This window comes from Homo sapiens, chromosome 8, assembly GCF_000001405.40.
Source record: "Homo sapiens chromosome 8, GRCh38.p14 Primary Assembly".
NCBI classification, from domain to species: Eukaryota; Metazoa; Chordata; class Mammalia; order Primates; family Hominidae; genus Homo; species Homo sapiens.
The window spans coordinates 143,968,176-143,995,991 of record NC_000008.11 but is presented as its reverse complement, the minus strand read 5'-3'; the positions used below and the strand labels follow the sequence as shown (position 1 = coordinate 143,995,991).

Genomic DNA, 27,816 nt, shown 5'->3' with positions numbered 1-27,816 from the left:
TTCTGCAACTGGGAATCTCAATGCATCGTATTTGGAAGGAGGACAGACTAGAGCCAGGCTAGAGCTGTCAGCTGTGAAGAGGCAGCAGCCACTCAGACTGGCTGGGACAGGGCACTGCTTGCCCTTTTTACAGCTTGGACAGTGCCCATGTTTTGTCTGTGTTCAGAGTGATAACAGAGGGGTCTTGTTTTTGTATTGATCCATCATGGTCAGAGTAGTCTGATGTTGATGTTCTATGCAATTTTAACCAGGAGACACTGAGGGCTCTATCTGTGAGTGCCAGGACAGCTCCTAGCAACACCAAGGCCTCTATCTGTGAGTGCCAGGACAGCTCCTAGCAACACTGAGGCCTACAAGATAGGACCAGATCAGCTCCCAGATGTCAGCGACTGGTCTTCTTTCTACCTGAAGAATCAGTGTGGTGGCCTCACAATTGCTACAGGTGCGTTCAGCCTCATGACTCCATGTGAGCACCCCGTGCCGATTCATCTGCCTGGCCACATCACCACGTACTCGGACTCATTTCACTCCCTGGCTGGGACACAGCAGATAGCAGACCTCTCAGTTGTCAGACACATCCCACTGGCCTTCGGCTGTGCCCAGCCTGGCTTAATTGGCACCTCCCGATGCTTCTGGAGGCGTCTGTGCTCCCAGCTCCTCTCTGGCATGTCTCAATGGCTTCCTTGTGGCCCACTTCACCTGTTCACAGCCCCATGACTTCCCCTGCACCGTCTATTGCCAGACTCATCTTCCTAAACACAAACCCAGCTGTGGCCCCTGCCTGAGTGCCCTTCACCTGCAGGATAGGCCCAAGCCCTCCTGTGTTCAGCCCTGGCCTTCTCTCTGGCAGTGGGGGTCTTTGCTGTGGACCCTCCACCCCCTGGCCCTGTCCCACACCTCTGGAGCTTGCCGTTCCCAGGGAGCCTCACTAAAGCCTCTCCCTCTCAGCCAAGAGTTTGTGTCCGTCTCAAACTCCTCAAGAAAACAATGTCCTGGCACATTTCACTTGGCAGTTACTCCCGAGACCACCCCTGCCCCCGCCCTGACGTTCTCGTTAGCCACATAAACACTTTATTCTCCTCTTTCGTATAAAATCCTGAGGGGTCTGGGAGCTAGAGCTAGGCAGGTTCTTTCTCCTCCTCAGCATGCTGGAGCACAGGCGGGCACCCAGAGGAGGAACTGCACCTGCTCAGGAAATAGCCGGAAGGGGAGGTGGGGGAAGGGGGAGCCGTGTGGCCCACTCGCTGCTCAGCATGTGATTAGCCGCTGCAGAGGGCAAGGTGGACTCCAGGAGGTGCCCTCGTGGCTGGGAAGGCAGTGTGTGTCCCCACACTGGCAGAGGGACTGTCTGTGAACAATGACAGCACTGCAGCAGGGAGCCCACTCGTGACTCAGGTTGTGCAGGGTCAGGGCCCCCGGCTGAGAGGCAAAAGGACAACAGGAGGGCAGCTGGAGCCACCAGTGGGCAGATGGCAGGGCCCGCGTACCAGGCTAAGGAGCGTGGACTTCATCCTGAGGGCACCACCGAGGGTTTTAGGCAGGCGGGTAGTGCAACGGATGTGATTGATGTTTCAGAAACACACCGCTAGGGTCCTGGTGGAGGGCGGGGCAGGCGAGGAGGCCAGGTGAGGCAGGGGAGGTTGGGAGGGAGAGGGAAGCGGGGCAGCCCCTGCTCTGGCCTGGAGATAATGCAGGAGCAGGTTTCAGGAAGGATGAGCTTGGCTCTGGGCACCCCACAACTGCGGTGCCCGCGGACATCAGGGTGGTGCTGGCTTCGTACACAGAGGTGCTAAGGGGACTGACTGGGCAGTGGGGAGGGGCCTTGAGAGATCCTCAGGCCACGCTGCATGCAGAGCCTCGAGGCTGCAGTGGGAATATCCAAGTCCAAAGCTGCCTCTGGGCCTAGAGCCGCGGGGTGTGAGAGCTCAGCAGGGCTCAGACCAGCCAGGTCCCAGGCAATGGAGGGACCCCCTGCAGGAGCAGCAGGCGTCACAGGGCAGGAAACGCACTGCAGGCTGGGGCTGAGGGCTCCAAAGGACCGGGCCTGGGCAGGCCAAGGGGCCCAAATGGCTGAGCCCTCAGTCTCTGTCCAGCTCTTGGACGGGATCTCCAGCCTGTGTTTCTCATGGGGAGGCTGGAGAGAGGCAGGCCTGGGTGGAATATCAGGGTGCCCACACAGATGGACTGCACAGAGCTGGGGAGGCCCAAGGAGCGCCCAAGGAGCATGGCAGGCTGCCCTGGGGCAGGCCAATGACCTGTGCCGCTGGCCCAGGCGACAGAAGAGTGAGGCGGCTATACCGTGCCATCTCCACGGAGCACCTGGTAGACACAGCCAGGCCACTTACCATTGGGGTACCCCAGCACAGGCTTAACTCACTCTGGGCACCCCAGGGTCTCTGTCCATCAGTTGGGAACCCAACACACACCTTATGATGTAGCTGTGTGTGGGCAGAGGCTTGGCACTGTATTAATCTCCACTATTCATTTCTGGTCCTGTGTCTCCATCAGCAGGGAGGGCCTGGAGCCCCTCCCAACTTCATGTTGAAAGTGGCAGGGAGAAGAGTGACCAGGGGAAGGCAGAGAGCAAATCCCATTTATTGGAATTTCACTGACAACAAATTGAGAGGAAGGCTTCCCCCTCCCCTGAAACATGCCATCCTCTCTGCCCTCAGGGCTCAGCACAGGGATAAGACCCCCACTCCGCATGTCCCCAGAGGGCAGCACTCCAGGGGGGTGGGGGGGAGGGGAGGGGTGCTCTACGCCAGGCTGGGGAGCTGGGACAGGAGGGAAGACGTGCACCCTCACCTCTTGGCTCAATCCCTCTCCCCGGGACCTGGTGCTGCCCCCAGTCCCTGGGGTGGGCTGGCAGACAGGGCTCATGCAACAATGAGTAGACAGGAGGTGGCACGGAAACGTGGCCTTGGTGCCCCTTGGCGGGGGCGGGAGGACTAAAGGGGCCATGCTGTGGCCACAGCGGGTCCAAATGGAAGTATCTGCAGTGTACATACAGGAGGGTTGGAGAGAGGCATCCTTTTCCCTAGGCTGTGCCTGGGGACAAGAGAGAGGGGAAGTACAGCTGGCACTGCCGTGCCAGGGGCAGGGTCCAGGCCAGCCGTGCCACCTGAGCGGGCACAGCGAGCTGGAGCTCGGCTACTCCTTGGCGCGGCCAATGATGGTGAGGATGTACAGGAAGATGTTGATGATGTCTGTGTACAGGTTCAGCGCAGCAAACACATACTCTTCTGGGCTCAGGGACAGCTGCTTGTTCCCCAGTAGCAGCTGGGTGTCCACTGCGAGGAACTGGAGGTGACAGCACAGTGGTGTTGAGGGACAAGCCTGCCTGCCCAGCATCCCGCCCCCGGCCAAGGTCACCCCTCACTCACGCAGGTGAAGAGCAGAGCGCCCAGTGAGGCGTACACGATCTCCAGGATGCGGTTCCGGATGAAGATGCAGAGAATGGCGAAGATGAAGAGCACCACCATGCTCACCAGGAGCACGCCCATGCATGAGGTGAAGTCGTAGCGGGTCTGCAGGTGGGAGAGGAACGGGCCATGGGGCTGGGCCTGGGAAAGCTGCTCAGCCCCTGCGGCCACAGCCCAGCCACGGGAGGCCCCTCACCTGCATGGAGAAGATGACGACGGTGAAGCAGACGGCTGTGGTGATGCCCACGGCCATGATGACTGCCTCGGTGTTGTAGAAGCTGGCGATCATCCCCACCATGTACGACAGGCTGGCGGTCAGGACCGACTGCAGTTGGGAGACACAGGCTGACCTTGGGTGTGTGCCCCCATGCCACCCCTGCCGGCCCCTGCCTCATGAGCACAAGGAGAACCACGGTGACCAGGCCCGGAAGAGTGGGCGTGTGGGACTGCATGGCCGGACCCAGGCACAGAGGCTCAGGTTTGGGGGTTACCAGTGCAACAAGGTTCCAGGGGTGCTTTCGCCGGAAGTCCCCACAACAGCTGAGGACGATGAGAGAGATGAAGAAGACAGCATAGGAGACATAGTAGGTCCAGACATTCTCCCGGACAAAGCCCTTCACCTCCGCAACAAAAGTGAACACAGACACCGTGGACAGGGTCACCGACAGCTGCAAGGTCAGCACTAGGAACACCTGGGGAAGGAGCCGCTCAGAGTCATCCGCTGGGAGCCACAGCCCCCACCGCCTTGGAGATGCCCCTACCCACCTTGCGGATGAAGGCCTGTCGGATGCTCTTGTCATCCCAGTTGGTGGCAGGGAAGTCCTGGTTGTCATAGTAGGATGGGGGACCCTCCTCCTGGTAGTTTCCATGCTGGGGTGCTGAGAAGCAGACAGGCTGGGTCAGCGCCACTCACAAGCACCTCCCCCTGCCCTCCCGGCCACCCCACCCCTCCCTTCCTGAGACTCACAGTCAGGGTCTTGTCCTGGGAAGACCTGTGGCTGTCCATAGGGGTTGGGGGGGAAGGGGCTCTGGGGATATGGCCCCTGGGGGTAGCCCCCTTGGGGGTAGGGGCCCTGTGGGTAGCCCTCTTGTGGGTAGGGGCCCTGTGGGTAGCCCCCTTGGGGGTAGGGACCCTGTGGGTAGCCCCCTTGGGGGTAGGGGCTGGGGCCATGGGGGTACCCTGGCTGACCGTAGGGGGAGGGCTGGAAAGGGGGCTGTGGGTAAGGGGCCCCAGGGTAGGGAGGCTGAGCATAGGGGGGCATGGGTGGCTGGGGCCCCCCCGGATATCCAGGGTTGGGGGGAGGATAGTTGTCCCCAGACACCAAAAAACTCTTTTCATGGGACATGGCCTCGGGTTCCGCGGTCCGCCCCTAGAGAAGACAGACAAGGAACAGTGGAACAGTTGGCTTGACGACAGCGTCGGGACCCAGCCCTGCGCAACTCCACCTGCTTCTGGGAACCCAGGGGGAAGCAAGGGAAGACCGTGACCTTTGCCCCGGGCTGTGGGGAGCCCCGGAGCCTGGGCCCGGAGAAGCGCGTGAGGACCGGACGGGCGGCGCCGTGGGGCCTTCCCAGGGCTCTAGGCCGCCTTTAGGGTGGGGGAGGGGCCGGGCGAGGGGACGACCGCCAGCCTCGGGATTTGGGGCTTGGGTCGTTTCTCACAAGCAACCGGAGGCCTGCGCCGCTGCCGGCGTCTCCCGGGTGGGAGCTCAGCGCGGAGGCTGGGGTCTCGGCCGGGGACGTGTGGGGTGTGCCCGGACCCTCCCCTCCGCATCCCGCCCCTTAAGCAGCTTTAAGGGGCCGGAGCCGGCGGCTATTTCTATCCCAGGAAATCCCCGGGCCATCTGTGACCAACAAAGGCCCGAGCCCCCCCACCCCCGCGAGCCCAACAACAGGGCCCAACGGCCCCTGGCTCCGGGGTGGGGGGATCGGGCCTGGATCGGCTGCCGGTGCCTGCCAGTGGGGTACGCCGGGAACAGCGGGGTGCGGGGGTGTGTGGGGGATGGAAGCGACCACGGGGCGTGCGGGGAACAAAGCGGGCGTGGGGCGAGGCGGGTAGGGGCTGCGGCCGTGGCACTGGCACCGAGAGCGGATGGGCCCTCCGCGGGCCGGGGGCGCACAGGGTCACGGGTCCAGCAGTCGCCGCAGCGCGCCGCCCCCTCCCTCCGGCTCCAGGCCGCCGCGGCTCCCCGCCCCCACCACCGCCGCCACCTCTGGCCGCGAGCTGCCGCGCGCCCCGGCCGGACCAACTTACTGACCCGAGGCGGCCACGCTCGGATGCGCAAGATCCGCGTGGGGGCGGGGGCGGGGGCGGCAGGCCGCGCGGCGCAGCGGGTCAGAGGCGCTCCTGGGCTCGGGCCGGGGACTCACCGGTGGCCGGGCGCCGCAGGCCGGTACGCACGGTGTCCGCTGCGCGGCCGCGCGGTGATGGCCGATGCGCCCGCACCCGCACCCGCTCGGCGGCCGCTCAGCTGGGCCTGCGCCTGCGGCTCGGAAGACGCAGCGGGGCCTTGTGACGGGGCGGGGCAGGGGGCGGGGCCGGGCGAGCTTCGGGGTGGGAGGGGCAGGTGGGCGGGGCTTCCGCGGACCCCTCCCGCTGCGCCGCCTTGCGTGTTCCTCTTCGCTCCGGCCAGAGGCCCGCCTCTCACTGTCTGCCGAGGGGTGGGGTCGGGCGGTGGGCGCTGAAGACCCCTGGAGGCAGAAGTCTGGTCTGGCCAATTTGACTGGCCGTTCGGTAGTTAAGAAATTTATTCCTAAATGCGGGATTTGCTGAAGCTGCCCGGGACTGACCGTCCGTTCTCGGCCTTAAAACCCGACGTTCACTTCTTTTCATCCAGATCTCTCCCAAATCAAGAAGCCTAATCCTTTAGTTCCCAAATCGAGGCCTCGTGGTTTAATTGCCCCATTTGCTCTGTCAGCCCAAACTCTGCCAGGCCTGCTACTAGAGACCCTTTTTTATTTTTTTAATTCTTGTGGATACATAGTAGGTGTATATTTACGGGCTACATGGGATGTTTTGATACAGGCATGCCATGGATAATAATCACATCAAGGTAAATGGGGTATCCATCAGCTCAGGCATTTTGTCCTTCGTGTTACAAACAATCCAGTTATACTCTTGGAGTTGTTTTAAAATGTACAATTATTCTTGACCACAGTCACCCTTTGTACTAACAAATACGATGTCTTGTTTTCACACTAGAGACCCTGAACGCTCGCTTGTCTGCCTAACGTCCTCACAAGCTGCGAGGGGCTGAGGCTTGGGGATGCAGCAGGACTGGAGGCCAGGCCACCTCCCTGCTTAGCTCCCAAGTCCTCTTGGGGGAGCAGTGACTGACACAGGCAGGGTACATCCTGCTGCCAGCCTTCCCACCCGGGGCCCAGACCCCACCTGCCCTCCCGCCCTTGGAGGGCCGGCCTCTCCCAGGCCGCTCTGAGTCCTGCACCTATGGTGCGCTGGCGCAGTGTTTAGCAGCCGGACCTAGTGAGGGGAAGCCTGGGGTGCGTGTTTTGCACATGCGCGTGGTGTGAATACTCCACCGGGGCTGGTTTCAAGTTACCCCCAGCTGGACAACCAGTCCACAGAAATTCCCGAAACTGTACCAGTCTGCTTGTGGTGTGAGTGGTGCCTGTGGCAGGCCCTCTGCAGCCAGGGTCGGCGTAATGGATAACCTGTGATGAGTTCCATTAGAGAAAACGTGGAAAAAGCAGGGATGGATTTACCCTTGTAGAAGGTAACTTCTACCTTTGTAGAAGCAGAAGCTCACAAAATTTGAGAGACCTTTAAGAAAAATAAAATGCTTGCTGGGCGCGGTGGCTTACGCCTGTAATCCCAGCACTTTGGGAGGCCGAGGCGGGTGGATCACAAGGTCAGGAGATGGAGACCATCCTGGCTAACACGGTGAAACCCCGTCTCTACTAAAAATACAAAAAAAAATTAGCTGGGCGTGGTGGTGTGCACCTGTAATCCCAGCTATTGGGGGGGCTGAGGCAGGAGAATGGCTTGAACCTGGGAGGCAGAGGTTACAGTGAGCTGAGATCGTGCCACCGCACTCCAGCCTGCGTAACAGAGTGTGACTCTGTCTCAAAAAATAAATAAATAAGTAAATAAAAATAAAATAGCTGGGTATGGTGGCTGGCACCAGTAATCCCAGCACTTTGGGAGGCTGAGGCAGGTGGATCATCTGAGGTCAGGAGTTTGAGACCAGTCTGCCCAATAGGGTGAAACCCTGTCTCTGCTAAAAATACAAAAATTAGCTGGGCATGGTGGTGCGTGCCTGTAATCCCAGCTACTTGGGAGGCTTAGGCAGGAGAATCCCTTGAACCCAGTGGGTGGACGTTGCAGTGAGCCGAGATCACGGCACTTCACTCCAGCCTGGGTGAAAGGGCGAAACTCCGTCTCAGAAAAAAAAAAAAAAAAGGCAGAGTAAGGGAGATCATGCCAGAGGGGTGGCCATGGGGGTTTGTGGGGAAGGTAGGGCCAAGCAGAGGGAAGGGCCAGTCCCAGGCTACTGAGGCAGGAGTGGCCTGTAGCTCTGCAGGAAGAGCTGAGAGCCTGGAGCCCTCTGAGCATCAGGGTGTGCAGGGGGCATGGGGCCAGAGAAGGGACTGAGGTCTGGTCAGGTGCAGCTGGGCAGGGGGCAGGTCCTCAAAAGGACTTTGGGTTTTTGTTTTTTTTTTAGACAGAGTCTCACTCTATCACCTTGGTTGGAGTGCAGTGGCACGATCTCAGCTCACTGCAACCTCCACCTCCCAGGTTCAAGCTATTCTCCTGACTCAGCCTCCTGAGTAGCTGAGATTATAGGCACCTGCCACCATGCCCGGCTAATTTTTATATTTTTAGTAGAGACAGGGTTTTACCATGTTGGCCAGGCTGATCTCAAACTCCTGACCTCGTGATCCACCTGCCTCAGTCTCCCAAAGTGCTGGGATTACAGGCATGAGCCACTGCGCCCGGCCCCCAGGACTTTGGTTTCTACTGTTGCTGATGCTGGGAGCTGTAGCAGCTGCTGGTGTCATTTTACAAGGCTCACCCTGACACCTCTGTTGAGGACCCACCATGGGAGTGGCAGACAGAGACTAGTTAAGAGGTTAGCCTAGCTACCTAGCGAGAGATGCTGGAGGCTGGGACCAGGGTCGGGGCAGCAGAGGTGTGGCATGTGCAGGGCTAGGAGTGCAGGCTGGCCAGGGTCCTCAGCTCCCTGGAGGGAGGAACAGCAGGGGTGGGGCTGGGTTTTGGTGGGCTGAGGGGTGAGTGGGAAGTAGGAGATGGAGAGTGGTAGTGGCCACAGCTCTTTGAAAGGCTGGAAGCAAACGGAGCTTGGGTGATGTGGGAGATCTGTGGCGAGTGGGAGTGTGGACTCTGAAGGCACCGCCCAGGTTTGAGGCCTGGTGCTGCTATGGGCCTGTCTGCACCTCCGTTTCCCTTTCTGTGGTGAGGATTAGCGGCAGCAAGGAATGCAGTGGAGCCATTACCTTGTCACCTTCTGAGGTTACTTGTGACGATGCCAATGATGGTGTGAGATGGGGAGGTGCAGGCAGGACAGAAAGCTGCAGGAATGGGCAGGCAAGACCTGAGGCGGGAGGAAGGCTGTGCTGCAATGCACATTCTTGGAGACCAAGGGTGGGGAACCGCCCATGCTCAGCACCTGGCAGGTGTGAGGGACCAGGAGCAGGGTTGAGAAGGTTGCTGGGGGCGTTGAAGGCCAGCCTTGGCCGGGGGCGGGCCTGGAGACCCAGCACTTTGTGTGCAGAGGGTGTCATGGACACAGAGGCTTGGAGATCCTGAGTGAGGGGCAGTGACTCAGGCCCCTTGGTGGGTTTAGTGGGGCGGGTGATTGGCCATTTTCAGGCCATGGAGGCCAGGGGAGTGGAGGGCCACCAGGGGACACTCCTGTCTACCCTGCCAACCAGGGGCTGGAGTGGGCCAGGTAGGGCCGGTGGGCTGGGCTGGGTTGGCTGGAGGGTCCTGAGGGGTCCAGCCTGGCCAATACCTCCTGGTCAGCTGGGGGTTGAGGCTGCAGCAGGAGAGGAAGCATCTGAGCCCCAGTACCCAGGCCTCAGCGCCCAGGGCCCAGCTGCTCCCTCCCTCCTTCCGTCTTTCAGTTTCACTTTTGTTTTCCTGCTCCCAGCAGGGTTAGGCTTGCTGAGGGGCAGGCACAGGAGTCCTGGCTGAGCTCATGGCCTGAGGCTGCCTAGCGGCCACGGGGAATGTAAGTGCTGTATGTGGGGCCACCCATAATGGGGGAGCATTGAGGACACACCTTGGAGGGGCCTGGGGAGGGGCAGGAGGGGTGGAATGGGCTGTTTCCCTACCCACCTGATGCCCCGTCCCAGGGTTGCAATGGCGGAGGCAGAGGCAGGGGTGGCAGTGGAGGTCCGTGGACTGCCCCCTGCCGTGCCCGACGAGCTGCTCACTCTCTACTTTGAAAACCGCCGACGCTCTGGAGGGGGACCTGTGTTGAGCTGGCAGAGACTGGGCTGTGGGGGCGTCCTCACCTTCAGAGAGCCTGCAGGTGAGAGGGCTGGCTGAAGGGACAGCCTGGGTGCCCTGATATTCTAATGCCTGACATCCTGCCCCGCCCCTGCCCACAGACGCCGAGAGGGTCTTGGCCCAGGCAGATCACGAACTACATGGTGCCCAGCTGAGCCTGCGGCCAGCTCCACCACGAGCCCCTGCACGCCTGCTGCTCCAAGGACTGCCCCCTGGCACCACGCCCCAGCGCTTGGAGCAGCATGTCCAGGCCTTGCTGCGGGCCTCGGGGCTCCCAGTACAGCCTTGCTGTGCCTTGGCCAGCCCCCGGCCAGACCGGGCTCTGGTCCAGTTGCCCAAGCCCCTTTCTGAGGCAGGTGAGAGGCAGGGTTGGGGTTGAGGTGCTGGCTAGGGGGGATTCCCTGAGCTGACCTGCACATACCCCACAGATGTCCGTGTCCTGGAGGAGCAGGCCCAGAATCTGGGCCTGGAGGGGACCTTGGTGTCCCTGGCCCGGGTTCCCCAGGCCCGAGCGGTGCGTGTGGTGGGGGATGGTGCCTCTGTGGACCTGCTGTTGCTGGAGTTGTACCTGGAGAATGAGCGCCGCAGTGGTGGGGGGCCCCTGGAGGACCTGCAACGCCTACCCGGGCCCCTGGGCACTGTTGCCTCCTTCCAGCAGTGGCAAGGTGAGTGGGGCTGGGCAGACCCAGCCGACCGTCCCTCTCCTGCAGAAATCTGACAGGCTTTCTGTCCTTTCCCTTCCTCCAAGTGGCAGAACGAGTGTTGCAGCAGGAGCACCGGTTGCAGGGCTCAGAGCTGAGCCTTGTCCCCCACTACGACATCCTGGAGCCCGAGGAGCTGGCTGAGAACACCAGTGGAGGGGACCACCCGTCCACCCAGGGGCCTAGGGCTACCAAGCATGCTCTCCTGAGGACCGGAGGGTTGGTGACGGCTCTGCAGGGTGCAGGGACTGTGACAATGGGCTCTGGCGAGGAACCAGGGCAGTCAGGGGCCTCTCTGAGGACAGGTCCCATGGTGCAGGGTAGAGGGATTATGACAACAGGCTCTGGCCAGGAACCAGGGCAGTCAGGGACCTCTCTGAGGACAGGTCCCATGGGGTCTCTGGGACAGGCAGAGCAAGTCAGCTCGATGCCCATGGGGTCTCTGGAACATGAGGGGCTGGTAAGCCTGAGGCCTGTGGGGTTGCAGGAACAGGAGGGGCCCATGAGCCTGGGGCCTGTGGGGTCTGCAGGCCCAGTGGAGACCTCTAAGGGGTTGCTGGGGCAGGAGGGCCTGGTGGAAATTGCCATGGACTCACCAGAGCAAGAGGGGCTGGTGGGTCCCATGGAGATCACCATGGGGTCTCTGGAGAAGGCAGGGCCTGTGAGCCCAGGATGTGTGAAGCTGGCAGGGCAGGAGGGCCTGGTGGAGATGGTGCTATTGATGGAGCCAGGGGCGATGCGCTTCCTGCAGCTCTACCATGAGGACCTTCTTGCGGGCCTGGGAGACGTCGCTCTCTTGCCACTTGAAGGACCGGATATGACTGGCTTTCGGGTGAGTGACCCCTCAGGACTCCTCACCTTCAGCCCCCTCCTCCTACTGGGGACTCAAAGTACCTTTCCTGTGCTCTAAACCTGCAAACTCCATCTCTGCAATGGCCCTGCAGCTCTGTGGAGCCCAGGCTTCCTGCCAGGCGGCTGAGGAGTTTCTGCGGAGCCTGCTGGGCAGCATTAGCTGCCATGTGTTGTGCCTGGAGCACCCGGGCAGCGCCAGGTTTCTCCTGGGCCCAGAAGGGCAGCACCTTCTCCAGGGGCTGGAGGCTCAGTTCCAGTGTGTCTTTGGGACAGAGCGCCTGGCCACAGCCACGTTGGACACAGGCCTTGAAGAGGTAGAGATGGAGTCCCACCCCTGCCCTCCCCTTTCTCACGCCTCTGCCCCAGGCCTCCTCTGCCCTTGCCCAGAGGCTAGTGGTCCTGACATCCTCTCCCTACAGGTGGACCCTACCGAGGCCCTCCCAGTGCTCCCTGGCAACGCCCACACCCTGTGGACCCCAGACAGTACAGGTGGTGACCAGGAGGACGTGAGCCTGGGTAGGGCTCCCTGGGAGCCCTCAGCACATCCTGTGGCCCTCACTTGACCTCACCCCCTGCCCTGCTCTGTGCTCCCATCTGTCTACTGACCCATCTTAGGCCCACCCTGTACCCTAAAAACTTGCTCCCCATCTTTCATCCATTCCAACTCCTCCTGGGTCCAGCCCCTGACCCAATGGCCTCTCCCTGCCCCCAGAGGAGGTCCGAGAACTGCTGGCCACCCTGGAGGGCCTAGACCTAGACGGGGAGGACTGGCTGCCTCGGGAGCTGGAGGAGGAAGGGCCTCAGGAGCAGCCAGAGGAGGAGGTGACCCCAGGGCATGAGGAGGAGGAGCCTGTGGCCCCCAGCACTGTGGCACCCAGGTGGCTGGAGGAGGAGGCCGCTCTGCAGCTGGCCCTCCACCGGTCACTGGAGCCTCAAGGTCAGGTGGCTGAGCAGGAGGAGGCTGCTGCCCTGCGGCAAGCCCTAACCCTCTCCCTGCTGGAGCAGCCCCCGTTGGAGGCAGAAGAGCCCCCAGATGGGGGGACTGATGGCAAGGCCCAGCTGGTGGTGCACTCGGCCTTTGAGCAGGATGTGGAGGAGCTGGACCGGGCGCTCAGGGCTGCCTTGGAGGTCCACGTCCAGGAGGAGACGGTGGGGCCCTGGCGCCGCACACTGCCTGCAGAGCTGCGTGCTCGCCTGGAGCGGTGCCATGGTGTGAGTGTTGCCCTGCGTGGTGACTGCACCATCCTCCGTGGCTTCGGGGCCCACCCTGCCCGTGCTGCCCGCCACTTGGTGGCACTTCTGGCTGGCCCCTGGGATCAGAGTTTGGCCTTTCCCTTGGCAGCTTCAGGCCCTACCTGTGAGTCTACCTCCTGGACTGAGGGACGGTGGGGTGGGCTGGTTAGCAGGGGCTAGTGCCCCAGGCATGGCTCTGACCCCCCGCTTTTCCCCATGCATCAGTGGCGGGGCAGACGCTGAAGGGGCCCTGGAACAACCTGGAGCGTCTGGCAGAGAACACCGGGGAGTTCCAGGAGGTGGTGCGGGCCTTCTACGACACCCTGGACGCTGCCCGCAGCAGCATCCGCGTCGTTCGTGTGAGTCCATGCCCTGTCTCTCTGGCCTCATGGCGTCCTGGGCTCTTGCACCATTAGCGCCTTGCCAAGTCTGTGGCCTGTCCCTCTCGCCTACATCAAGGTCAGCTGACCAGGAGCTGACAGGCTCCCAGCCCTGTTCTCTGCCCAGAGGGCGTTCCCAAAGTGGGTAGGGAAACAGGAGGGAACAGAGTGGGGGCCTTGGGATCTGATAGGCCTGAGTGAGGGTCCCCACTCTGCCACTCGTGGCTGGGTCAGCAGGGACTATGGGACCAGCTCCAGGCCTCAGTTTCCTTATTTGGAGCATGGGGCGGTGATGCCATCTTGTGGTCATTTTGAGGATTACTCGCTCCACAGATGCGTCCCTTGTGCTGTTCTGGGCGCTCTTCTGCCTCCACAGAAAGGCCCGGGCTCGCTGCGGTCACTGTGCTGATGACACTGCGCGGGGCACTCTCTTTTTTGAGACGGCATCTCGCTGTGTCTCCTGGGCTGGAGTGCAGTGGCACGATCTCGGCTCACGGCAAGCTCCGCCTCCCGGGTTCACGCCATTCTCCTGCCTCAGCCTCCCAAGTAGCTGGGACTACAGGCGCCTGCCACCACGCCCGGCTAATTTTTTAAAAAATATTTTTAGTGGAGACGGGGTTTCACCATGTTAGCCAGGATGGTCTCGATCTACTGACCTCGTGATCCGCCCGCCTCGGCCTCCCAAAGTGCTGGGATTACAGGCGTGAGCCACCGCGCCCGGCCTTGCACGGGGCACTCTCAACTCTTGATGCCCAAAGTTGTGCGTGGGGCCAGCAGCATCACCCTCCACCAGGAGCTGGTCAGAAATGCAAAAAGAACCTCTGGCTGTCCCCAGACCTCACCACCATCATCACCACCATCACACCATCACCATGACCCTCACCACCATCATCACCACCATCATCACCATCACCCCATCACCATCACCACCACCATCACACCATCACCATGACCCTCACCACTCACTGTCATCACCACCACCATCACCATCACCATCATCACCACCACCTTCACCACTCACTGTCGTCACCACCATCATCACCACCACCTTCACCACTCACTGTCGTCACCACCATCATCACCACCACCTTCACCACTCACTGTCGTCACCACCATCATCACCACCACCTTCACCACTCACTGTCGTCACCACCATCATCACCATCACCTTCACCACTCACTGTCGTCACCACCATCATCACCACCACCTTCACCACTCACTGTCGTCACCACCATCATCACCACCACCTTCACCACTCACTGTCGTCACCACCATCATCACCATCACCTTCACCACTCACTGTCGTCACCACCATCATCACCACCACCTTCACCACTCACTGTCGTCACCACCATCATCACCATCACCTTCACCACTCACTGTCGTCACCACCATCACCACCACCTTCACCACTCACTGTCGTCACCACCATCATCACCACCACCTTCACCACTCACTGTCGTCACCACCATCATCACCACCACCTTCACCACTCACTGTCGTCACCACCATCATCACCATCACCTTCACCACTCACTGTCGTCACCACCATCATCACCATCACCTTCACCACTCACTGTCGTCACCACCATCACCACCACCACTACCACCACCACCGTGGCCACCATCATCACCACCATTAGCATCACCACTGTCACCGTCAGCTTCACCAACACACCGTCACCGCTCACCGCCACCAGGATCACCACCACCCAGACGCACTGACCTCATATCCTGGTGGTTTTGTTAATTATACGTACTTGGTTCTTCCGGTGAGCACCTTGATGACTTTAAATGGTATGCTTGAATTTAGTGAGCACCTTGATGACTTTAAATGGTATGCTTGAATTTTTTTTTTTCACTTGACAGCTTTAGAGATTGTTTCTTGCCTTCCCGCATGGAAGATGAGGAGAATGGGCCTCGCTTCTCTCTCTTTTGCCTCCTCCCTCATCTTCCATCTCAATTTGGTCAGTTACATTATTTTTATTATGTCGTAAAGGTTTCTGTAACTATCACAAAGCCTCCATGCGTGGGCCATAGGTTGGTAGACATACTATAATAATGAAAAAACATTTACCACTGAGCCATAGAAAGAGAAGTGAAATCCTAGTTATTAAAATTCTGTTCTGTAAAAAAGATGTTCTAGGATTCAAGGCTAATGGCTTTTCTTTTTTTGACTTTCTTCATTTTTTCCAGGCCATTCTTGACCACCGGGTTACTCAGTACCCCGCTTGTCACCTTTTGGCACAGACTCTTTTGTTTAGTGGGAGTATCTCCTTGAGTGGGTGCTAAACATATTTGACTTTTAAATTTACGTATATGTGAACATATATGTTTAAACATATACATTTATATATTAATATATACATTTATATATATAATTTTTTTGAGACAGTGTCTCTCTCTGTTGCCCAGGCTAGAGTGCAGTGGCATGATCTCGGCTCACTGCAACCTCCACCTCTTGGGTTCAAGTGATTCTGCCTCAGCCTCCCAAGTAGCTGGGATTACAGGCACACACCACCACACCCAGCTACTTTTTGTATTTTTAGTAGAGATGGTTTTTTTTTTTTTTTTTTTTTTTTTTTTTTTTGAGACGGAATCTCACTCAGTAGCCCAGGCTGGAGTGCAGTGGTGCAATCTCAGCTCACTGCAAGCTCTGCCTCCCGGGTTCACGCCATTCTCCTGCCTCAGCCTCCTGAGTAGCTGGGACTACAGGCGCCTGCCACCACGCCCAGCTTATTTTTGTATTTTTATTAGAGACGGGGTTTCACCATGTTAGCCAGGATGGTCTCAATCTCCTGACCTCATGATCTGCCCACCTCGGCCTCCCAAAGTGCTGGGATTACAGGCGTGAGCCACCGCGCCCGGCTGAGACGGGTTTTTTTTTTTTTTTTTTTTGAGACGGAGTCTCGCTCTGTCACTCAGGCTGGAGTGCAGTGGCACGATGTCGGCTCACTGCAAGCTCCGCCTCCTGCGTTCACGCCATTCTCCTGCCTCAGCCTCCTGAGTAGCTGTGACTACAGGCGCCCGCCACCGCGCCCGGCTAAATTTTGTATTTTTAATAGAGACGGGGTTTCACCATGGTCTCGATCTCCCGACCTCGTGATCCGCCCACCTCGGCCTCCCAAAGTGCTGGGATTACAGGCGTGAGCCACCATGCCCAGCGAGACGGGGTTTTGCCATGTTGGTCAGGCTGGTCTCGAACTCCTGACCTCAAGTGATCCACCCACCTTGGCCTCCCAAAGTGCCAGGATTACAGGCGTGAGCCACTGCACCCGGCCGACTTTTAAATTTATATTGCCCTTTACAATTAGAGGTATTTTGCAACTGTAATTTGATGTTGGTATGAACTTCCATGTTCTCGTGTGTCCTAATATGCCCTTATTTGTCCTCATTCTTCATTACTAGTTTGGCTGGATATAGTGTTCAGGTTCAAAATATGTTTTTCCTCAGATATTTGAAGACATTGCTGTTTTTCTTCATTCTTAAAAGAATATTTTTCTTGGAAAGTTAAAAAATATCCCCCCATGGTTTCTTAGCATCTGGTGTCGGTAATGAGAGACCCAATGTGAGAAGGTGAGACTTCTTCCGGTTTGCATATTGACCTTGTTGTGTGTGTGTGTAAACTTGCAGGGTTGGCCAGCTGCGGTGGCTCACGCCTGTAATCCCAGCACTTTGGGAGGCTGAGGCGGGCGGATCACGAGGTCAGGAGATCGAGACCATCCTGGCTAACACAGTGAAACCCCTTCTCTACTAAAAATACAAAAAAGATAGCCGGGCGCGGTGGCAGGTGCCTGTAGTCCCAGCTATTCGGGAGGCTGAGGCAGGAGAATGGCGTGAACCCGGGAGGCGGAGCTTGCAGTGAGCCGAGATCGTGCCACTGCACTCCAGCCTGGGCGACACAGCCAGACTCCCTCTCAAAGAAAAAAAAAAAAAAAAACTTGCAGGGTTTTCTTTCACTCTGAAGGTTGAGGTTTCCTGGCACGTGGGTGCCAGGGGCGTTGTCTTTCCTCATTGTCCTTCTTGGCATTTCACGGATCTTGTGTATCTGAAGATGTTCCTTCAGCTCAGGGAAGCGTCTTCCCTGTGTGTGCTGGAGCTCCGGCCGGTGGAGCTCCTGCTATGCCGGCTCAGACCTCAGGCCCCCTCACCTGCTCCCTCGGAGTTCCTTTCTCTTCCGTTAGCTTCTCACTCTGCATCAGTTCCTGAACTCCATCTAGAACGCTAGCTGGGTCTTCAGTTTGAACCACTTCCTCATTTGGCTCACCCCCTCTAGATTTAGCTCAGCGTCCCTTTCTGAATGCAGGAGCACTCTGGTTTTCAGACTAGTTCCTTTTCATAGCAGCTAGTTTTGTTTAATAGACATGGTGTTCTTTTGCAACTCTCTGAAGAAACTATTTAAAATTTCTTTAAAAGTGTTTCCCAGGGCTGTCAGGTTGGTCACCTGAGGCCTTCTCTCCCACCTGGGTCTTTCAGCACTGAGAGGTCTGTGGCATCTCCTCGTGTTGGAGTCAAGTCCTGTAGGCAGCATAGGGCCCTGGCTCAGCTTTTCTCTGCAGAGGCCTCGCTTGAGTGGGTGGGGTTTGCCCGCCCGCAGACCTCCACGGGAGGGGGAGGGGTCAGGCCTCCCCAGCGGCCCTCTGAAGTCACTTGCTTCACGGAGGTGTTACTGTCTGCTGCTGGACAGAGCATGATGGGGGCTGCAAGGGCTCCCTCAAACCCTGGACTCCTCCAACAGAGGGCTCCTGGTTGCCAGGCTCAGCTCTGCCCTGCGTCGGCCCCAGGGCGTAGGGAGGGTGTTTAATCCTGGCCCGGGCCTTCCCCGCAGGTGGAGCGCGTGTCGCACCCGCTGCTGCAGCAGCAGTATGAGCTGTACCGGGAGCGCCTGCTGCAGCGATGCGAGCGGCGCCCGGTGGAGCAGGTGCTGTACCACGGCACGACGGCACCGGCAGTGCCTGACATCTGCGCCCACGGCTTCAACCGCAGCTTCTGCGGCCGCAACGGTGAGGCCTGAGCCGGGCAGGGGCGGGGGCTCTGCGCACCCCGACCACCCTGACCTTGCCCCGTCTCGCCCTGCAGCCACGGTCTACGGGAAGGGCGTGTATTTCGCCAGGCGCGCCTCCCTGTCGGTGCAGGACCGCTACTCGCCCCCCAACGCCGATGGCCATAAGGCGGTGTTCGTGGCACGGGTGCTGACTGGCGACTACGGGCAGGGCCGCCGCGGTCTGCGGGCGCCCCCTCTGCGGGGTCCTGGCCACGTGCTCCTGCGCTACGACAGCGCCGTGGACTGCATCTGCCAGCCCAGCATCTTCGTCATCTTCCACGACACCCAGGCGCTGCCCACCCACCTCATCACCTGCGAGCACGTGCCCCGCGCTTCCCCCGACGACCCCTCTGGGCTCCCGGGCCGCTCCCCAGACACTTAACCGAAGGGGCCACCCTCTGGCCTCCTGCTTCCCAGGCTCCCAGCTCCGCACAGGCTGATGCTCCCCGCCCCCAACTGTGGCCGCCTGAGCTGTCCCCGGGGACGCCCCTGCCTCCCTCTGCGGGCTCCAGAAGGCGGTGTGGGGGATGGCGGTCAGCAGCGGCCGAGGGGGGCCGGGCTAGGTCCCAGCCTGGGCCGACCCCACCACCAGGGGTCAGCAGAGCCCAGGAGGCGACACCGCCCGCCCGCCGCTCCCAGACCTCGCCCGAGTCGGCTCTGTTGTTTGAATAAACGTGAACGTGAACCCAGGCGGAAGGGACCCGGGAACTCTGACTGCGACCTCTGTTTGGGGAGTGGGGATCTCCGCGGCCCAGGGGCGGGATCTGCTGCTTCCGAGGAGGCGTCGGGGTGCGGGGCGGGGCCCGGAGCTCACCGGGGCGAGCGCACGACGTTCCCGTGTCGCGCACGCCGGCGCAGACAGCGTCTCCTTGACTACCGGCCCGCCCCGTGCGCCGGGGGCTCAGGTGTGCGCCGCTGCCCTGGCCGAATCGCCCGCCCGGGCCCCAGCCCCGCCGCTCCCGAGATCTCGGCGGCCCCGCGCAGACACGGGCGCCCGATCTCGCTGGCAGCGTTCGCTCGCTCTCGGCCGGGCCCGCGCGGCGCAGCTCTGGGTGGGGGCCGGGGCGGGGCTCGGGGCTCGCCCCGCCTGCGCCGCCTCCGCCGCTCTCCCGGCCCGAGCAGTCTGGCTGCGGCGGCAGAGCTGAAGTGAGCGGAGCCACCAGGCATGTATGACCGCGGCCAGGATGGAGAGGCGCGCCGCGTGCGGGCGCTGCGGGGTGGGGGTCGGGGGGCGGTCTCCGGCCGCAGGCCACACGGAACTAGGGGCTGCGCCGCGCCCCCTCCTGCCCTCGCTCGAGAGGACAGCACCTCCCTGCACGCCCGAGACTGCGGAACTGGACGGGCGGTGCCCGGGGTGTGGGCAGGAAAGGCCGCTGGGGAGGCGCGGCTGACCGCAGGGCTCCGGGCGGGGGGCTGCAACCGGGGCGGCCCGTGGAGAAGCCAGTGGGGGCGGGGCGCGGCGGCCCCCTCCTCGGTGTCCGCTGCCTCCTCCTTAGCCCTTGGCCTGAGGGCGGAGGCACAGAGCCCACATTGTGCCCCCGCGCCAGCCCACCCCCTCCGAGACAGAGCCCCATTCACCTCCCGCACGCCAGTGCTCTTGGGGACGGGGGCTGGGGAGTGTGCGCGCGTGGGTATGCGTGCGTCCTGGTTGCGTCCGCGGTGCCGGTGTACGCGCCCCCACTGTGGGCCGCTGGAGCTGCGGCCCGGGCTCCCTCCCGGCCTCGCTGCAGCAGAGCTCCCGCGGCCCACGCCGCTGCGGCTGCAGCTATTTATAGGCCTTCGCTGCGGAGATCGAGGTGGGACTGCGGGCTGAGGTGGGGTGGCGTGATGGGGAGTCCTAGAGGTCGAGAGAGCTTGGAGGTGGACTGCCGGTGTCCAGGGGAAGGGCTTGGGTGTCCTTCCCTGATGACCCGGTGAGTGGAGGGGGCGGTGGTCAGCTTTCCTTGATGGCCTCGCCTGCCTGCGATTAGAGGGTTAGAGGCGGGTCCAGTTTGGGATGGAGGCAGTGGAGGCCGGCATCTGAGTGAAGGTAGTCACCCCTTCCCCTTCCATTTGACAGAGTGGAAGGTGGTCTGTCGTGTGCCGGTTGAGCCCCTGGGTGACAGAGTAGGTGGGTGGGGTGTGGGTGACTAAGAGAGGAGAGTGGCAGTCAGTGTGTGGGAGTGGGGGTGGCCAGGGTGGTCAGTGTCCTGGTGATGGACTGGAGGGTAAGGCCAGTGGCTGGGGGGTCACTGTGTAGGTATCTGAGGAGTGCGCGGGAGGGGGCAAGGCAGTCATGGATGGAGAGAGGGTAAGTCAGTGCCTGGGGCCAGAGCATGGGGGTCAATATGTGGGTACAGCAGAGTGCAGGAGGGGTGTGGGTGCCAGTGTCCAGGCGAGAGGCTGGGTGGGGAGAGTTCAGTGTCTAGGTTAAGAAGGTGGTGGGTGGGTCGGCGTGCAGAGTCCACTCCTGAACAGGCAGAGATGTGACCCCTCCTGCTCCCCTTCCAGGAGGCCATGTCGGGTGAGGACGCTGAGGTCCGGGCAGTCTCTGAAGATGTCTCCAATGGAAGCAGTGGCTCGCCCAGCCCTGGGGACACACTGCCCTGGAACCTTGGGAAAACGCAGCGGAGCCGGCGCAGCGGGGGTGGCGCTGGGAGCAACGGGAGTGTCCTGGACCCAGCTGAGCGGGCGGTCATTCGCATCGCAGGTAACTGCGCAGGGCCTTGCCTGTGCACCTCCTTGGCACGCGAGGTTGACTGAGTTCCCGCTGCGTGCTAGGCGCTGGAGCGGGGACTGGGTGGGGGAGGCCTAGGGGGATCTGCGGGTCACGGAGGGCCTCGCGCGTCCCAGGTGAGTGCAGGCGGCACAGCGCCACCTGCCGGCCGCGCCCAGGCGGTTCATGAGGCCTGGGGTTGGGCTTCTTGCCGCGGCGTCCATCCTTGATTTTAACACGGTCCAGTGCCCAGATGCAACAAGGATAATTTTTTGGGTTCCCCACCAGGCCCTCGGTCTTGGCTGCCACAATGGCGGCCAGGTGGGAATGTACAGGAGCAGTGTATAGGGAGGGGGTACCTGGTTGTCTGGAGCCCCAGCCTCTTCCTGAGCCAGGATCTGGCCTTGCTTTCCAGTAGCTCCCCATCCAGGGAGAACGATGGGAAGCATCCAGCGAGATGCTTGGGGAAGGGGGAGGGCAGGAGGGAAGTGGGTGACCTAGAGCTGTGCTAGGAGAGGGAGGAGCAGTAGCTCTCTAGGCTTTGGCTTGAGAGTCCTGACCTGTTCCAGCCGGAGGGCAGGGAGGCCCCTGCGGGAGGCCAGGAGAGGGCTGCAAGGCCAGGTGCTGAGCCCTGGGGGGATGTTGCAGACGACGGGAAGCGGGGCTGGTAGGAGCAGGAAAGAGGGAAGGAGAGGGTCACTGCTGTGCACCCAGCTCCAGCCCCAGGGTCTGGTTCCATCTGCATGACCTTCAGGGCTTTTCACAGCACACACGGACTTTAAAGAAAGAAGTCACTTTCTTCCCACTTGAAAGGGAATCACTTGTGTCGTTCCCACGCCTGGGCTTTCTTCAGCATCACCTTTACAGTTGTGGAGGAGTGTGGGGGGTCCCGAGGCCCCGGCTGACCGTGGTTGCCTTCGGTACTCACTGCAAAGGCTTTGCCCCCAGCCAGCACCTTCCGCGCCGGGGCTCTGCGTCCTCTGACGGTTTCCTTAGGACCGATTCCTGGAAGCGGGACTTGCAGTTACAGGACATATGGCATTAAGCTTGGAGAAAACACGGCCAGGGGCATCCCAGACAGGGTGGCCGACATTGGTGAAGGCGGGGAGAGCGGGGGCTTTGCCAATCTGATGGGTGGAAAGAGTTGTTTTAATTATCACCAAGCATTTTTTCCTTCTGTGAATGGGCTATTCCAGTCCTCGTATGTGTACTTAATTTTTCTTGTGTGTAGTGTTTTAAGGGTTCTTTATACCGACTCAGTCGTCTCCAATGTTGCAATGGGAAAGTTCTCAGCTGCACGCAGGAAGCAAGGTGGGGGGCGGGCAGGGGAGCGTCTCGGAGGCAGGTCGCCGGCCCGGCGGGGAACAGACAGGTCGCGGCCGCCCCTGGGCGGGGGCCACCCGAGGACCCCCGGGCGACCGCGGTGTCGGCGGCCGCGACCCGGGCGAGAACGGGAAAGGGCGTGCGTGCGGGACTCGGAGCCCGCGGAACCGGCCCGCCGGGAGGGGCCCAGACGCGGCTCCCTCTGCCCGGCCGCGGCGGCCCCGGCCCCGCCCCGCCCGTGGGGCATCCTGGGTGCGGGGGCGGGGCGGGGGCGGGGCGGGGGCGGCCTCTTTAAGCGGCGCGCGCGGCCGCGGGGACAGAGTGGCCGCCGGGTGCTGGAGGCTCCGCTGCACCCCGCGCCCCGCGCCCGCCGGCATGGCCGGCCCGCTGCCCGACGAGCAGGACTTCATCCAGGCCTACGAGGAGGTGCGCGAGAAGTACAAAGGTACGGCCCCCCGTCCCGCTGCCTGTCGGGCCGCTCCTGACAGCCCAGCCGCCGAGCACCTTGTCGTCCACGGTGGCGGTCCCGATCGCCGGCCCGAGCGCGGCCACTCCGCCGGCCTCGTCCGCCTGGATCGCCCCCAACGGCTGCCAGTGCCTAGGGAAGGGGAGGACTCGCTCCGCTGAGCCCCCGAGGCCATGCCCTTAATAGGGCATCGCGCGGCTCGGGTGGGTGGGGTGGGCCGCGGGCGGGTGGGGGCGCTCAGGGCTTGTCGGGGTCGGCTGTCTGAGCCAGGATCCGGTGTCTGTGGCCAGCAGACACATGGGTCAAGGCTGAGCCATCCCCTGCCCCACCTCTGGGGCGCGTCTGCATGGAACAGGGGCAGCTCCGCCGCCTGGCAATGGGTCACATAGTTGCCGCCTCTCCTCACCTCCCTAAACTGGCGAGGGCCTGGGCTGCCACCCTTCCTTGGCAGGGCACCCCCCCCACACCCCTTCTCTGTTCACTAGGGGACAGCTGTGGGCTAGGGGTCAGGGTGGCCCCTCCTTCCTCTCTAGGGGAGCATCAGAGTGGCCTGCCCACCTGCTTGATGCCTCGGCAGACCCCCTTGCCCTAGTCCACGCCCACGGGGAGCCCCTGGACCCTCCCAGGTCCTGGTCCCACCGGCCATTCTTGCAGCCCAGCTGCCTGGCTCAGCCTGGGTCGCCCGGCTCCAGGCGGTTGTGGACACAGCATTGGCTGCCGGCCTGCAGAGGCTTAGGAGCAAGGGACTGAGCTGCTGGGGAGGGTCGCGGTGGGGGCCCCCAGGCAGAGCCGATCAGAGCAGACTCCAGCTCCACGTGGCTGGTTTTGCTGGCTCTGCCCCCAAGGGCAGCTCAGGGAGAGAGGTCCTGCTGGGGCCCCGTGGTGCCGCTCTCCACCACAACCTTGCCCAGCTGGGTAGGTTTCATGGTGCCCCGAACTCATCTCCTTCAGGCGTCCTCCAGCGACGGCTCTGGGGCAGGGTGGATGTACTGCTGTGGCTCTCTTTGACAGTGCTGTGCCCAGCCGCTTTGCCTGTGTGACTAGTTCATTCGGGCCAGGGGAGACACTCCTGCACCCTTGGGGAGGCCTGGAGCGGGCAGCCTGTTGCTCATGCTCTACATGGCCGGCCCTGCCTTAGAGGGAGCACCCGGAGGGGTGCTGGGGTATAGGGCAGGGAAGCAGCCGCCCACCTGGGCTCCAGCCCTCCTGGCAAGCCCCAGGACAGAGCTGTTTCTGAGCTGACCACTCTGTTCAAAGTGCGGGAACTGTGCAGGATCGTTTCCTCCTGGAGTTCTTCATCTGGTCAGGTTGCTGGGCTGCCTGGGGTGCCCCAGCCTGTTCTGGGCATTGTGCTGAGGCTTTCCTGGCCCCAGGGCTGTCTTTCCTCTACCTCCTGGGGTGGGAACTACTTCTGATTCATCCAGGGGTGAGCCAGACAGATCCCTGGAGGTTGCTGGGACCCTCTGTCAGGGTCCTCCCTCCCAAGCGCAGCTCCTCTGGAGGCCAGGATTGGTGTTGGGCACACTCGCAGTCTTGGCCCATTGTCTGCCTTCTGGGCTTGGTGGTGGAGGCTGGTGAGGGGGCAGGGGGGCCGGGGGGCTTGCCTGAAGTGGAGTTGTCACGTGATGGTGCAGCTGCCCGCATGTGTGTGGCACTGGCCTGAGAGTGGCTAAACAGCAAGGCAGGTGCTGAGGCTCCGTGAGCACACCAGGTACCCCAAGTCTCCTTAGCTCCTGGCTTGAGACAAGGGGACGGGAGGGGCTGGGCTGGTACCTGTGTCTGGGAGCCACGGACCAAGGCTGAGGAGGGCCTGCAGGAGGTCAGAGGTGGCCCCTGTGCCCTACACCTTTCCAGGCCTGACCTCTGTGAGCCCCTTGGACCTGCTAGAGGGCTGGAGCCCCGGCCCTTCCTGTCCCTGGGGTGGAGGGACTGTGGGAGGGCATGGCACCCCTTGCCAGCCAGCCAGTGACGGCAAGGCAGCCCCAAATCCCTCCATGGTAAGCAGCTGCGGGCCCCTGTCCTGGGCCCAGCTCAGCATTTGGTGGTTCTGAGGAGGGCAGGGAGGCCAGGCCTGTGCCCCCTGCCCAGCTGATCCCTGCACTGAGGAGGTGCTCTGGCTTAGGCCTCCTGGCCTCCTCCCCTCTGTGGCATTGCCTCGGTTCCACCTCACTGTGCCCTCTCACAGACAACTCCCTGTCTGACCCTCACTCCGGTGACCTTCACCCCCCACCCCACAACGTCTCAGACCCTCCCCTGGACACGTCATTCCCTGGCTCTCCCCTGGAAATCCCCGGTCTTCCCTGTACAGTCAGGCGGCCACTGCTCCGCTTGGAACATCGCCAACTTCCTGTCTGCCTGAGCCCCTCAGCCCCCCCATTCTCCCTGTCCCCCATCCAGGGCAGATTCCTCTGGGGCTGAGGCTACTGCAGCCTGTGGCGGGAGAGCTCTGGGCACCCTGTGGGAGAGGCCTCCGTGCTGAGGGCTGTGGGCTGGTGACTTAGACAGTCGGCCCAGCTGCCAAGAGGTGTCCAGTCGCCCAGCGCCCCAAGCCTGGCCTGTGACAGCTCATAGAGGCTGGGCCGTTCTGCCGCACCATGGGAGCCTGGAGAGAGACCTGGGGTGGGTGTGGCAGGGCGGGGACAGTTCTAGGAGAGAGTTGTGGCAATGCAGGTGAGTGGAGGTGAGGCGGCCAGTCCATAACTGAAAAGAGAGCGGTGTTGCCAGGGGCTGGGTGAGAAAATATCCTGGAATTGACAGCTACACAACTCCGAATCTACTGAAACCACTGAATTGGACGCTTTGAATGGGTGAATGGTGTGGCATGTGAATTACCTCTCAATAAAGCTATTAAAAAATACTAATAATCAGCATGAGGTCAACCTAATTGGTACTGACATGAAAAGCCAGTGGCTCCAGAGGAAATCTCAGTCTGAGCTCCCTGTAAAGGGGCGGCCAAATCCGTGTGCTCTCTCCCGCCCTCTCTCATGCACAGCGATCGCCCCAGCCGGGAGCCTGAACCCAGAGGTGTGACTCTCCCCGTTTTTCTTTGTATACTTCCACCCTGCTTGATTTTTTTTTTTTTTGGAGCGTTTTACTTTTGACAGTAAACACCGACCAAAATTCCTCTCCAGTGAGCCCCAAATAACCTCCAGCCTGCCCTCTGCCAGCTGAGCACCAACCACTGCAGATGACGCCCTACGCCATCACCCACTCACCCGTGCAAACACCCTGCAGTGCTGGCTGAGGGCCTGGGGCCAGTGCCAGGGACACAGATAACCAAGCTCAGAGTCCAGGACAGGGGAGAGTAGGGGACACATGAGGAGGGGGCCAGGCACAGTGGCACTGGGCAGGCCCAGGGCTGGCAAGGGGTCCTGAAGAGAGTGCAGGCCACAGGCTGGGCACACGCCCTGTGGAGACCCAACACACCCAGCCCCTCTCCAGGCCCGCTTTTCCCCCAGACCAATGCAGGCCTCCCACCCCTGGCCCCTGCCCCACACCAACGCCACCCACTCACCAACGGTACTCACCCCGGCCTCATTCTCACCCCTGCTGCCCTCTCCAGGACCACCTCACAGCACCCCTAAGCCCCACTCCCATCCCTAACATGACAACCTAAAGTCTCTATCCCCAGCTGCCCAGGCCCCCGGCTGGCCCCACTCCCCACTCCCCGGCCTGCACTCATGCCCTGACCCCCAGGACAGGCCCCTGCCCACAACGCTGGACTGCTGCTGGGCCGCTCTTTCTTTCTTCACTGACCGCCTCACCTCCACTCACCTGCATTGCCACAACTCTCTCCTAGAACTGTCCCCGCCCTGCCACACCCACCCCAGGTCTCTCTCCAGGCTCCCATGGTGTGGCAGGACGGCCCAGCCTCTATGAGCTGTCACAGGCCAGGCTTGGGGGGCTGGGCGACTGGACACCTCTTGGCAGCTGGGCCGACTGTCTAAGTCACCAGCCCACAGCCCTCAGCACGGAGGCCTCTCCCATAGGGTGCCCAGAGCTCTCCTGCCACAGGCTGCAGTAGCCTCAGCCCCAGAGGAATCTGCCCTGGATGGGGGACAGGGAGAATGGGGGGGCTGAGGGGCTCAGGCAGACAGGAATGGTTATGGATTGGCCTGTACTGGCCCTGGGTCTGGCCTCTTCGACTTGCCGGGACGCTGTCAGGGCTGCTCACATCGCCGCGCCATCAGCACCTCACCCTCCCCCCGCTGGAGTCGGTTCCGTGGTGTGGAAGTGCCCACTTTTGCTTATGCGTTTATCAGTTGACGGATAGTGGGTTGTTTCCACCTTTTGGCTGTTATGAGTGAGGCTGCTATGGACGTTTGCATACACGTTTTTGTGTGGTCGTATGTTTTTTATTTCTGCTGGGTAGATACCTAGGAGTGGAATTGCTCAGCTGTGTGGTAATTCTATATTTAACCATTTTGAAGAACTGCCAGATTGCTTCCTAAAGCGGGCGTGCCATTCTGCATGCCCAGTAACAGCCGGGTGCGAGGTTTCCAATTTCCTCACATCCTCACCAACACTTGTTATTATCTGACTCTTTGATTGCAGACATCCAATCCTAGTGGGTGTCGAGTGGAATCTCATTGTGGTTTGATTTGCATTTCCTGATGGCTAATGACGTTGAACACTTTGGTGTGATTGTTGGCCATTTTTTATATCTTTTGAGAAATGTGTATTTCAATCCTTTGTCCATTTTAGAATTTACCTTTTGGTATTTTTGAGTTGTAAGTGTTCTTTATATATTCTAGATGCCAGTCCTTTATCAGAAATATGATTTGCAAACATTTTCTGTTTCTGTGGTCTGCCTTTTTATTTGCTTGCTGGTGTCTTTTTTTTTTTTTTTTTTGAGATGGAGTTTTGCTCTGTCACCCAGGCTGGAGCAGGTTCAAGTGACTCTTGTACCTCAGGCTCCCGAGTAGCTGGGACTACAGGCGTCTGCCACCACACCTGGCTAATTTTTGTATTTTTAGTAGAGATGGGGCTTCGCCATATTGGCCAGGCTGGTCTCAAACTCCTGGCCTCAGCCTCCACAGTGCTGGGATTACAGCGTGAGCCACCTCACCTGGCCGGTGGTGTCCTTTGAAGCACGTACATTTTAATTTTAATTATTATGACTCCAGTTTATCTATCTTTTTCCTTGGTTGCTTGTGCTTTTGGTGCCATATTTAAGAAGCCATTGTCTAATCCAAGTCATGAAGCT

The 27,816-nt window shown here is 60.7% G+C and overlaps 3 protein-coding genes across 17 annotated transcripts in view, besides 24 other annotated features; 2 read left to right on the top strand and 1 right to left on the bottom strand.

Annotated features, from left to right (window-relative positions):
- The window catches only part of PARP10 (poly(ADP-ribose) polymerase family member 10), a 35,607-nt gene extending 16,773 nt beyond the window's left edge, over positions 1–18,834 (top strand). The window contains exons 3-14 of one of the 6 annotated variants that reach the window (XM_011517336.4): positions 252–442; positions 9,554–9,634; positions 9,759–9,937; positions 10,017–10,271; positions 10,344–10,580; positions 10,664–11,448; positions 11,561–11,782; positions 11,888–11,957; positions 12,181–12,825; positions 12,927–13,060; positions 17,911–18,085; positions 18,162–18,834. In XM_011517336.4, coding sequence (XP_011515638.1) covers positions 9,633–9,634; positions 9,759–9,937; positions 10,017–10,271; positions 10,344–10,580; positions 10,664–11,448; positions 11,561–11,782; positions 11,888–11,957; positions 12,181–12,825; positions 12,927–13,060; positions 17,911–18,085; positions 18,162–18,508 — 3,051 coding nt within the window. In that variant the 5' untranslated portion in view covers positions 252–442; positions 9,554–9,632 and the 3' untranslated portion in view covers positions 18,509–18,834. Of the gene's footprint in view, positions 1–251; positions 443–9,531; positions 9,938–10,016; positions 10,272–10,343; positions 10,581–10,663; positions 11,449–11,560; positions 11,783–11,887; positions 11,985–12,180; positions 12,826–12,926; positions 13,061–17,910; positions 18,086–18,161 lie in introns of those variants that run through there. The other 5 variants (XM_047422327.1, NR_134234.2, NM_032789.5 and 2 more) reach the window with 5 other exon arrangements.
- GRINA (glutamate ionotropic receptor NMDA type subunit associated protein 1) lies at positions 2,577–5,936 on the bottom strand. Of its 2 annotated transcripts, none has more exons than NM_000837.2 (7): positions 5,681–5,936; positions 4,390–4,792; positions 4,188–4,300; positions 3,914–4,114; positions 3,619–3,747; positions 3,384–3,527; positions 2,577–3,300 (listed from the first exon to the last, which is right to left on the bottom strand). In NM_000837.2, the coding sequence occupies exons 2-7, from the start codon at positions 4,766–4,768 to the stop codon at positions 3,151–3,153; spliced, it is 1,116 nt and encodes a 371-aa protein (NP_000828.1). In that variant the 5' UTR covers positions 4,769–4,792; positions 5,681–5,936; the 3' UTR covers positions 2,577–3,150. The 2 variants fall into 2 exon arrangements, with proteins under 2 accessions (NP_000828.1, NP_001009184.1); NM_001009184.2 differs by having other exon boundaries at positions 5,793–5,936.
- Positions 3,690–4,191: an enhancer, noted in NCBI's record as "H3K4me1 hESC enhancer chr8:145065969-145066470 (GRCh37/hg19 assembly coordinates)". NCBI's record gives its function as "activates a minimal SCP1, AML or CMV promoter by ChIP-STARR-seq in primed H9 embryonic stem cells {active_cell/tissue: H9 hESC(primed)}" and the evidence as "EXISTENCE:reporter gene assay evidence [ECO:0000049][PMID:30033119]".
- Positions 4,737–5,031: a silencer, noted in NCBI's record as "tiled region #3935; K562 Repressive DNase matched - State 1:Tss". NCBI's record gives its function as "represses a minimal TATA promoter and a strong SV40 promoter by Sharpr-MPRA in K562 cells {active_cell/tissue: K562}" and the evidence as "EXISTENCE:reporter gene assay evidence [ECO:0000049][PMID:27701403]".
- Positions 4,737–5,214: a biological region, named in NCBI's record as "Sharpr-MPRA regulatory region 3935".
- Positions 4,855–4,904: a silencer, noted in NCBI's record as "silent region_19650". NCBI's record gives its function as "represses an Ori minimal core promoter by ATAC-STARR-seq in GM12878 lymphoblastoid cells {active_cell/tissue: GM12878}" and the evidence as "EXISTENCE:reporter gene assay evidence [ECO:0000049][PMID:35858748]".
- Positions 4,955–5,214: a silencer, noted in NCBI's record as "silent region_19649". NCBI's record gives its function as "represses an Ori minimal core promoter by ATAC-STARR-seq in GM12878 lymphoblastoid cells {active_cell/tissue: GM12878}" and the evidence as "EXISTENCE:reporter gene assay evidence [ECO:0000049][PMID:35858748]".
- Positions 5,345–5,484: a silencer, noted in NCBI's record as "silent region_19648". NCBI's record gives its function as "represses an Ori minimal core promoter by ATAC-STARR-seq in GM12878 lymphoblastoid cells {active_cell/tissue: GM12878}" and the evidence as "EXISTENCE:reporter gene assay evidence [ECO:0000049][PMID:35858748]".
- Positions 5,505–6,004: a silencer, noted in NCBI's record as "silent region_19647". NCBI's record gives its function as "represses an Ori minimal core promoter by ATAC-STARR-seq in GM12878 lymphoblastoid cells {active_cell/tissue: GM12878}" and the evidence as "EXISTENCE:reporter gene assay evidence [ECO:0000049][PMID:35858748]".
- Positions 8,856–9,759: an enhancer, noted in NCBI's record as "H3K4me1 hESC enhancer chr8:145060401-145061304 (GRCh37/hg19 assembly coordinates)". NCBI's record gives its function as "activates a minimal SCP1, AML or CMV promoter by ChIP-STARR-seq in naive H9 embryonic stem cells {active_cell/tissue: H9 hESC(naive)}" and the evidence as "EXISTENCE:reporter gene assay evidence [ECO:0000049][PMID:30033119]".
- Positions 8,856–9,869: a biological region, named in NCBI's record as "H3K4me1 hESC enhancer GRCh37_chr8:145060401-145061304".
- Positions 9,430–9,869: an enhancer, noted in NCBI's record as "active region_28084". NCBI's record gives its function as "activates an Ori minimal core promoter by ATAC-STARR-seq in GM12878 lymphoblastoid cells {active_cell/tissue: GM12878}" and the evidence as "EXISTENCE:reporter gene assay evidence [ECO:0000049][PMID:35858748]".
- Positions 17,190–17,279: an enhancer, noted in NCBI's record as "active region_28083". NCBI's record gives its function as "activates an Ori minimal core promoter by ATAC-STARR-seq in GM12878 lymphoblastoid cells {active_cell/tissue: GM12878}" and the evidence as "EXISTENCE:reporter gene assay evidence [ECO:0000049][PMID:35858748]".
- Positions 17,450–17,599: an enhancer, noted in NCBI's record as "active region_28082". NCBI's record gives its function as "activates an Ori minimal core promoter by ATAC-STARR-seq in GM12878 lymphoblastoid cells {active_cell/tissue: GM12878}" and the evidence as "EXISTENCE:reporter gene assay evidence [ECO:0000049][PMID:35858748]".
- Positions 17,990–18,179: a silencer, noted in NCBI's record as "silent region_19646". NCBI's record gives its function as "represses an Ori minimal core promoter by ATAC-STARR-seq in GM12878 lymphoblastoid cells {active_cell/tissue: GM12878}" and the evidence as "EXISTENCE:reporter gene assay evidence [ECO:0000049][PMID:35858748]".
- Positions 18,312–18,806: a silencer, noted in NCBI's record as "fragment chr8:145051354-145051848 (GRCh37/hg19 assembly coordinates)". NCBI's record gives its function as "represses an EF-1alpha promoter that drives an FKBP-Casp9 reporter gene in an ReSE screen in K562 erythroleukemia cells {active_cell/tissue: K562}" and the evidence as "EXISTENCE:reporter gene assay evidence [ECO:0000049][PMID:32094911]".
- Positions 18,470–18,679: a silencer, noted in NCBI's record as "silent region_19645". NCBI's record gives its function as "represses an Ori minimal core promoter by ATAC-STARR-seq in GM12878 lymphoblastoid cells {active_cell/tissue: GM12878}" and the evidence as "EXISTENCE:reporter gene assay evidence [ECO:0000049][PMID:35858748]".
- Positions 18,880–19,619: a silencer, noted in NCBI's record as "silent region_19644". NCBI's record gives its function as "represses an Ori minimal core promoter by ATAC-STARR-seq in GM12878 lymphoblastoid cells {active_cell/tissue: GM12878}" and the evidence as "EXISTENCE:reporter gene assay evidence [ECO:0000049][PMID:35858748]".
- Positions 19,155–19,316: a silencer, noted in NCBI's record as "fragment chr8:145050844-145051005 (GRCh37/hg19 assembly coordinates)". NCBI's record gives its function as "represses an EF-1alpha promoter that drives an FKBP-Casp9 reporter gene in an ReSE screen in K562 erythroleukemia cells {active_cell/tissue: K562}" and the evidence as "EXISTENCE:reporter gene assay evidence [ECO:0000049][PMID:32094911]".
- The window catches only part of PLEC (plectin), a 61,593-nt gene continuing 53,023 nt past the window's right edge, over positions 19,247–27,816 (top strand). For 5 of the 9 annotated variants that reach the window (XM_047421890.1, XM_047421875.1, XM_047421889.1 and 2 more), the window contains exon 1: positions 22,463–22,589. In XM_047421890.1, coding sequence (XP_047277846.1) covers positions 22,520–22,589 — 70 coding nt within the window. In that variant the 5' untranslated portion in view covers positions 22,463–22,519. Of the gene's footprint in view, positions 19,290–20,616; positions 20,816–22,462; positions 22,590–27,816 lie in introns of those variants that run through there. The other 4 variants (XM_047421872.1, NM_001410941.1, NM_000445.5 and 1 more) reach the window with 1 other exon arrangement.
- Positions 20,933–21,002: a silencer, noted in NCBI's record as "silent region_19643". NCBI's record gives its function as "represses an Ori minimal core promoter by ATAC-STARR-seq in GM12878 lymphoblastoid cells {active_cell/tissue: GM12878}" and the evidence as "EXISTENCE:reporter gene assay evidence [ECO:0000049][PMID:35858748]".
- Positions 21,023–21,072: a silencer, noted in NCBI's record as "silent region_19642". NCBI's record gives its function as "represses an Ori minimal core promoter by ATAC-STARR-seq in GM12878 lymphoblastoid cells {active_cell/tissue: GM12878}" and the evidence as "EXISTENCE:reporter gene assay evidence [ECO:0000049][PMID:35858748]".
- Positions 22,109–22,238: a silencer, noted in NCBI's record as "silent region_19641". NCBI's record gives its function as "represses an Ori minimal core promoter by ATAC-STARR-seq in GM12878 lymphoblastoid cells {active_cell/tissue: GM12878}" and the evidence as "EXISTENCE:reporter gene assay evidence [ECO:0000049][PMID:35858748]".
- Positions 22,249–22,708: a silencer, noted in NCBI's record as "silent region_19640". NCBI's record gives its function as "represses an Ori minimal core promoter by ATAC-STARR-seq in GM12878 lymphoblastoid cells {active_cell/tissue: GM12878}" and the evidence as "EXISTENCE:reporter gene assay evidence [ECO:0000049][PMID:35858748]".
- Positions 22,249–23,289: a biological region, named in NCBI's record as "H3K27ac-H3K4me1 hESC enhancer GRCh37_chr8:145046871-145047718".
- Positions 22,442–23,289: an enhancer, noted in NCBI's record as "H3K27ac-H3K4me1 hESC enhancer chr8:145046871-145047718 (GRCh37/hg19 assembly coordinates)". NCBI's record gives its function as "activates a minimal SCP1, AML or CMV promoter by ChIP-STARR-seq in primed H9 embryonic stem cells {active_cell/tissue: H9 hESC(primed)}" and the evidence as "EXISTENCE:reporter gene assay evidence [ECO:0000049][PMID:30033119]".
- Positions 23,290–24,139: an enhancer, noted in NCBI's record as "H3K27ac-H3K4me1 hESC enhancer chr8:145046021-145046870 (GRCh37/hg19 assembly coordinates)". NCBI's record gives its function as "activates a minimal SCP1, AML or CMV promoter by ChIP-STARR-seq in primed H9 embryonic stem cells {active_cell/tissue: H9 hESC(primed)}" and the evidence as "EXISTENCE:reporter gene assay evidence [ECO:0000049][PMID:30033119]".